The sequence below is a fragment of the Homo sapiens genome, chromosome 6 (genome assembly GCF_000001405.40).
Source record: "Homo sapiens chromosome 6, GRCh38.p14 Primary Assembly".
NCBI classification, from domain to species: Eukaryota; Metazoa; Chordata; class Mammalia; order Primates; family Hominidae; genus Homo; species Homo sapiens.
This window is the reverse complement of record NC_000006.12, coordinates 127,224,737-127,231,552: the sequence shown is the minus strand read 5'-3', so window position 1 is coordinate 127,231,552 and position 6,816 is coordinate 127,224,737. Positions and strand designations below refer to the sequence as shown.

At 40.2% G+C, this 6,816-nt stretch overlaps 1 long non-coding RNA gene across 1 annotated transcript; it reads left to right on the top strand.

Moving 5' to 3' along the window:
• The first annotated feature begins 2,537 nt into the window (after positions 1-2,537).
• On the top strand, positions 2,538-6,543 carry LOC124901398 (uncharacterized). Its single transcript, XR_007059749.1, has 2 exons — positions 2,538-5,824; positions 6,234-6,543. It is a non-coding gene; the product is annotated as an uncharacterized LOC124901398 (long non-coding RNA).
• The last annotated feature ends 273 nt before the right edge of the window (positions 6,544-6,816 follow it).

Genomic DNA, 6,816 nt, shown 5'->3' with positions numbered 1-6,816 from the left:
GTATCAGTGGTGATATCCCCTTTATCATGTTTTATTGTGTCTATTTGATTCTTCTCTCTTTTCTTCTTTATTAATCTGGCTAGCGGTCTATTTTGTTAATCTTTTCAAAAAACCAGCTCCTGAATTCATTGATGTTTTGAAGGGTTTTTCATGTCTCCTTCATTTCTGCTCTGATCTTAGTTATTTCTTGTCTTCTGCCAGCTTTTGAATTTGTTTGCTCTTGCTTCTCTAGTTCCTTTAATTGTGATGTTAGGGTGTTGATTTTAGATCTTTCCCACTTTCTCCTGTGGGCATTTAATGCTGTAAATTTCCCTCTACACACTGCTTTAGCTGTGTCCCAGAGATTCTCGTATGTTGTGTCTTTTTTCTAATTGGTTTCAAAGAACTTATTTATTTCTGCCTTAATTTCCTTATTTACCCAGTAGTCGTTCAGTAGCAGGTTGTTCAGCTTCCATGTAGGTGTCAGGTTTTCAGTGAGTTTCTTAATCCTGAGTTCTAATTTGATTGCACTGTGGTCTGAGACACTGTCTCTTTGTGGGTCTCTAAGAACTTGCTTTATGAATCTGGGTGCTCCTGTATTGGGTGCATATATATTTAAAATAGTTAGCTCTTCTTGTTGCATTGATCCCTTTACCATTATGCAATGCCTTTCTTTGTCTTTTTTGATCTTTGTTGGTTTAAAGTCCATTTTGTGAGAGACTAGGATTGCAACCCCTGCTTACTTTTTTTTTTGCTTTCCATTTGCTTGGTAAATATTCCTCCATCCCTTTATTTTGAGCCTATGTGTGTCTTTCCACATGAGCTTGGTCTCCTGACTACAGCACACTGATGGGTCTTGACTCTTTGTCCAATTTGCCAGTCTGTGTCTTTTAATGGGGGAATTTAGCCCATTTACATTTAAGCTTAATATTGTTTTGTGTGAATTTGATCCTGTCATTATGATGCTAGCTGGTTATTTTGCCCATTAGTTGATGCAGTTTCTTTGTAGTGTCGATGATCTCTACAATTTGGTATATTTTTGCAGTGGCTGGTACCAGTTGTTACTTCCCATATTTAGTACTTCCTTCAGGAGCTCTTGTAAGGTAGACCTGGTGTTGACAAAATCTCTCAGCATTTGTTGGTCTGCAAAGAATTTTATTGCTCTTTTGCTTATAAAGCTTATTTTAGCTGGACATGAAATTCCAGGTTGAAAATTCTTTTCTTTAAGAGTGTTGGATATTGTTCCCCACTGTCTTCTGGTTTGTGGGGTTTCTGCAGAGAGATTTGCTGTTAGTCTGATGGGCTTCCCTTTGTGGGTAACCCGACCATTCTCTCTGGCTGTTCTTAACATTTTTTCCTTCTTTTCAACCTTGCTGAATCTGACAATTATGTGTCTTGGAGTTTCTCTTCTCAAGGAGCATCTTTGTGGTGTTCCCTGTATTTCCTGAATTTGAATGTTGGCCTGTCTTGCTAGGCTGGGGACGTTCTCCTGGATAATATCCTGAAGAGTGTTTTCCAACTTGGTTCCATTCTCCCCATCACTTACAGGTACACCAATCAAACGTAGATTTGGTCTTTTTACATAGTGCCATATTTCTTGGAGGCTTTGTTAGTTCCTTTTCATTCTTTTTTATCTAATCTTGTCTTCATGCTTTATTTCATTAAGTTGATCTTCAATCTCTGATATCCTTTCTTTCGCTTGATCGATTCGGCCATTGATACTTGTGTATGCTTCATAAAGTTCTCATGCTGTGTTTTTCAGCTCCATCAGGTCATTTATGTTCTTCTCTAAACTGGTTATTCTAGTTAGCAATTTCCTTAGCCTTTTTTCAAGGTTCTTAGCTTCCTTGCATTGGGTTAAAATATGCTCCTTTAGCTCTGAGGAGTTTGTTATTACCTACCTTCTGAAGCTTGCTTCTGCCAATTCGTCAAAGTCATTCTCCATCCAGTTTTGTTCTCTTGCTGGTAAGGATTTGTGATCCTTTGGAGGAGAAGAAGCATTCTGGTTTTTGGAATTTTTAGCCTTTTTGCACTGGTTTTTCCTTATCTTTGTGGATTTATCTACCTTTGGTCTTTGATGTTGGTGACCTTCGGATGAGGTTTCTGTGTGGATGTCCTTTTTGTTGATGTTGATCCTATTCCTTTCTGTTTGTTAATTTTCCTTCTAACAGTCAGGCCCCTCTGCTGCAGGTCTGCTGGAGTTTGCTGGAGGTCAACTCCAGACATTGTTTGCCTGGGTATCACCAGCGAAGGCTGCAGAACAGCAAAGATTGCTGCCTGTTCCTTCATCTGGAAGCTTCGTCCCAAAGGGGCACCCACCAGATGCCAGCTGGAGCTCTACCGTATGAGGTGTCTTTCAACCCCTGCTGAGAGGTGTCTCCCAGTCAGGAGGCACGGGGGTCGGGGACCCACTTGAAGAGGTAGTCTGCCCCTTAGCAGAGCTCAAGCACTGTGCTGGGAGATCTGCTGCTCTCTTCAGAGCTAGCAGGCAGGAACTTTTAAGTCTGCTGAAGCTGCACCCACAGCCACCCCTTCCCCCAGGTGCTCTGTCCCAGAGAGATGGTAGTTTTATCTATGAGCCCCTGACTGGGGCTGCTGCCTTTTTTTCAGTAATGCCCTGCCCAGAGGGGAGGAATCTAGGGAGACAGTCTAGCTACAGTGGCTTTGCCTAGCTGCAGTGGGCTCCACCTAGTTCGAACTTCCCGGCGGCTTTGTTCACACTGTGAGGGGAAAATCACCTACTCAATCCTCAGTAATGGTGGTTGCCGCTCCCCCTACCAAGCTCGAGCATTACAGGTCAACCAGACTGCTGTGCTGGCAGCAAGAATTTCAAGCCAGCGGATCTTAGCTTGTTGGGCTCTGTAGGGGTTGGATCCACTGAGCTAGACCACTTGGCTCTCTGGCTTCAGCCCCCCTTTCCAGGGGAGTGAATGGTTCTGTCTCGCTGGCATTCCAGGCACCACTGGGGTATGGAAAAAAAACTTCTGCAGCTAGCTTTGTGTCTGCCCAAATGGCTGTCCAGTTTTGTGCTTGATGCCCTGGGCCCTGGTGGCATAGGCACCTGAGGGAATCTCCTGGTCTGCAGGTTGCAAAGACCATGGGAAAAGTGTAGTAACTGGGTCGGAGTGCACCATTTCTCATGGCACAGTCCCTCATGGTTTCCCTTGGCTAGGGGAAGGAGTCCTTCTACCCCTTGCATTTCCTGGGTGAGGTGATACCCCACCCTGCTTCGGCTTGCCCTCCATGGGCTGCACCCACTGTCTAACCAGTCCCAGTGAGATGAGCCAGGTACCTCAGTTGGAAATGCAGAAATCACCCGCCTTCTGCATTGATCTTGCTGCTGGGAGCTGCAGACCGGAGCTGTTCCTGTTCGGCCATCTTGCCAGCCCTATTGTTTTATATTATTACCAGTGTTTGGTTGGTTAATGAAGTGCATGATTGGTTTATGTGTGTGCATTAGTAAATTTAACCTTTCTTATTGAATATCTTTTATGTATAAAGCTTTCTGGTTTGTATTTTGGGGACATGGGGTTAGTTTTCTTCTTTTCATGAGCTTATAATCAAGTATGGGAGACAGACATAAACACAAATGACTCTTAAATAAGGCATCAAATTAAAATGCCAAAATAGTTCTTAGAGAAGACTGGGTGCCTTTGGAAGGCTGAGGTGGGAGGATCACTGGAGGTCAGGAGTTCGAGACCAGCCTGATCAATATGGTTAAACCTGTCTCTTTTAAAAATACAAAAATTAGCTGGGCATGGTGGCAGGCACCTGTAATCCCAGCTACTTGGGAGGCTGAGGCAGGAGAATTGCTTGAACCCAGGAGGCGGAGGTTGCAGTGAGCTGAGATCACACCACTGCACTCCAGCCTGGGTGACCAAGCTAGACTCCATCTCAGGAAAAAAAAAAAAAGTTCTTAAAGAAAAAAACACAACATACTCCCCTTAAAAACAAGGAATTCTGAGGGAGAGGTTAATTATACTTGTGGGGTCTACATGGAGAGTCTTGAGAATACTTGGAGAGAGAGAGAAGAAAAACAGAACTGGCAACCAAATTCTGGAAATATAGCAAAGAGAAAATGCCAGAGTAAGGGAATATAAAAAAATAGATATAATGGTGTATTTTAAGTATTCTTCTGTTTTAGAAGACAACCAACTTATTGGGAACTTTCTTTTGTGGTACTACTTGCATTTTTAAGTATATTAGTTTTACGTTGTGGAGAATCATTTAAAAATAATTGTTATCTAAAGAATATGCTTAGTCACAAAAACAGTCATTGGAATCATAAAATATTTTACTTTTCAATCTATTCTATTACTGTTAAATTCTATTCACCTTTATATTCATTCTATTTCTATTAACAATAATATCTTCTAAATCTTCACGTACATGAAAAATGTGTAAGCAAACAGAAAATTTTCAAGTCAAACGCTGGTCAATTCAAATCCACAAGAGAGCAAACAGTACTTCTAAAAATAAGTTTTTTAAAAAACCATAATGTAACATGTCTTCATATTTAACGACAATACATAATCATATGAGGAACATATGGATATTATTTTATCTGTTTTAGAAATTAAAGTTCTAGAACACAGATATTTAACCAGATTCATGTGCTGTATATATGGGTTTTTGTATTTTATTGTAGTTCCTTACTTGCATCATATTATAGTTGAAATAATATTAATAATAATTATTATGATTTATTGAATGGCTCTTATGTGCTATCTACATGATATATCTTTTCTTAAATGATCCTAACAACTCTAGAAAATAAGTAGTACTAACTTCATATTAAGTATGACTTAAACAAGTCATGCACTTTGCAAATGATATGGCAGATTTCTGCTTGACCACACAGTGAATGCTTTGTCCAAACCACCTATTTTGCTTTGAACTATTCTATTTTGGCCTGGGAAGGGGAATTACTGCTGATGTGATTGGTTAATGGTTAGTCCTATTACACCAGGCTTGTATCCATTGCTACCTTTTTGTATGTCTCTGAATTATCAAACGAACAGGAGCCTCCTGACTGAGACTATGTACTATTAATGGATCATATGTATCCAGATATATTTACAGATAGAATACATTTCAGAAACATAAAGGACAATAAAAAATGGCAGAATTTACAATCTTAACAACATGGTTGCAGAAGCAGAACGGGAAAGTCATGTAGGCAGTCAAGGTAATACGCACAATGTAAACATGTCATCTAGGACATGAAGAAAACCTTTTGGGCCAAGTAGTACAGCATGTTTAGTTAGATCTAAACAAATGTGCATGACTATAACCCCAAATCTGTAATTTCATTTCTTTCCTTTTCCACAATTATCCAATCTTCAGTTTTACCAGTAGTATCAGAGACATTTTCTGCTCTTAAACTCTAGCTATCTGTGACACTTCCTTCTGGAAAGTGTCCAAAGCTTGAACCCTCCCTAGTTTCTCACACATCTGTGCATTATTAGCCTGTTTCTGGTCAAATCGTGTGGCAGATGAACAACAGCCACAAATTCTTTGACATTCTTCCTATAGGGAGGTAGGGCCTATTTGCTATCTCCTTGAATCTGGGCTGCCATTAATCTCTTTCCACTAATGGAGTGCAGTGTTAGGGATTATGACAGTTGTAGACCTTGTTTCTATGAGATTGACAGCTTCTACTTCAGTCTCCTAAAGCCCCCAGGGACAAAACAAGAAGTCAGATCACACTGCTGGAGAGACCACATGGAGAATATTGAGAATATGTGGAGAGAGACAGAAGAATCTAGCTGAGCCCAGCCTTCCAATTGTCCACAGCAAGACATAATGAATGGAAGTAAAACCACCTTGGATCAGGTGAAAACTAGTGAGTCAGCACCCTGTGGAGCAAAATAATTGCCCAGCTGAGTATGCCCAAATTCCTGACTCACAGAATGATGATATATACTAAAAGGGTTATTGTTTTAAGTCATTAAGTTTGGCATAGTTTGATATATGTATATTCTGCCTTGGTTTGCATGTTGGTCTATCTTTATAAAGTATGCATGTCCTTTTTTGCATATGGATCTCTGTCTGTAATTATGTTACAACGAGACTCTCTTTATATCAGTTTCCCATCGCCTCTGTGGAATGTGCCTGTGTTTCTCTCCGTTGATTCTTTTCTGCCTGATCTTTATGTTTATATGAGTCAGTTTTGCCTATTTAATTAACTTTCTATTTCCCTTTTCTTTCCCCTTCAGTGGCTCTTTCTACTAATTTCTCTCACTTTCTCCCAGGACAGGTAGTGAATTAGAACACAGACACTGGAGCCCAATTGCCGGGGACCAGACTTCAGCTCTGCCATTTACTGTGGGATGACCTCGAGCAAATTTTTTCACATCTTAGTGTTGTTGGGGTTTTCTCATCAGAAGTATGAGGGTATAATAGTCTTCACCTTATAGAATTGTTGTGTGTATAAGTTAATAAATATCTAGATAAATACATGTGTGTATACATGTACATGTATGTCTATGTACACACATACATATGTGTGTATTAGAATGATAGCCCTAAGCATTAAATATCATTTATAAGTTCTAATTCTCACTGTGTTTCCTTGTCTCTATTCCTTGTCTTTTTCGCTTCTACTTATCACATTTCTCTGGAAAGTAACTGACATAAAAATTTTATTATCTGAGCAAGTCAGTAGAATTCAACACTCCCATTATTAATTTTAAAAGATGAGTAGATTGTAGTACACTTCTCTCTGTTAAAAAAAATTCCTCAATTTAGGCTGGGCACGGTGGCTCACGCCTGTAATCCCAGCACTTTGGGAGACCAAGGCGGGTGGATCACCTGAAGTCAGGAGTTCAAGACCAG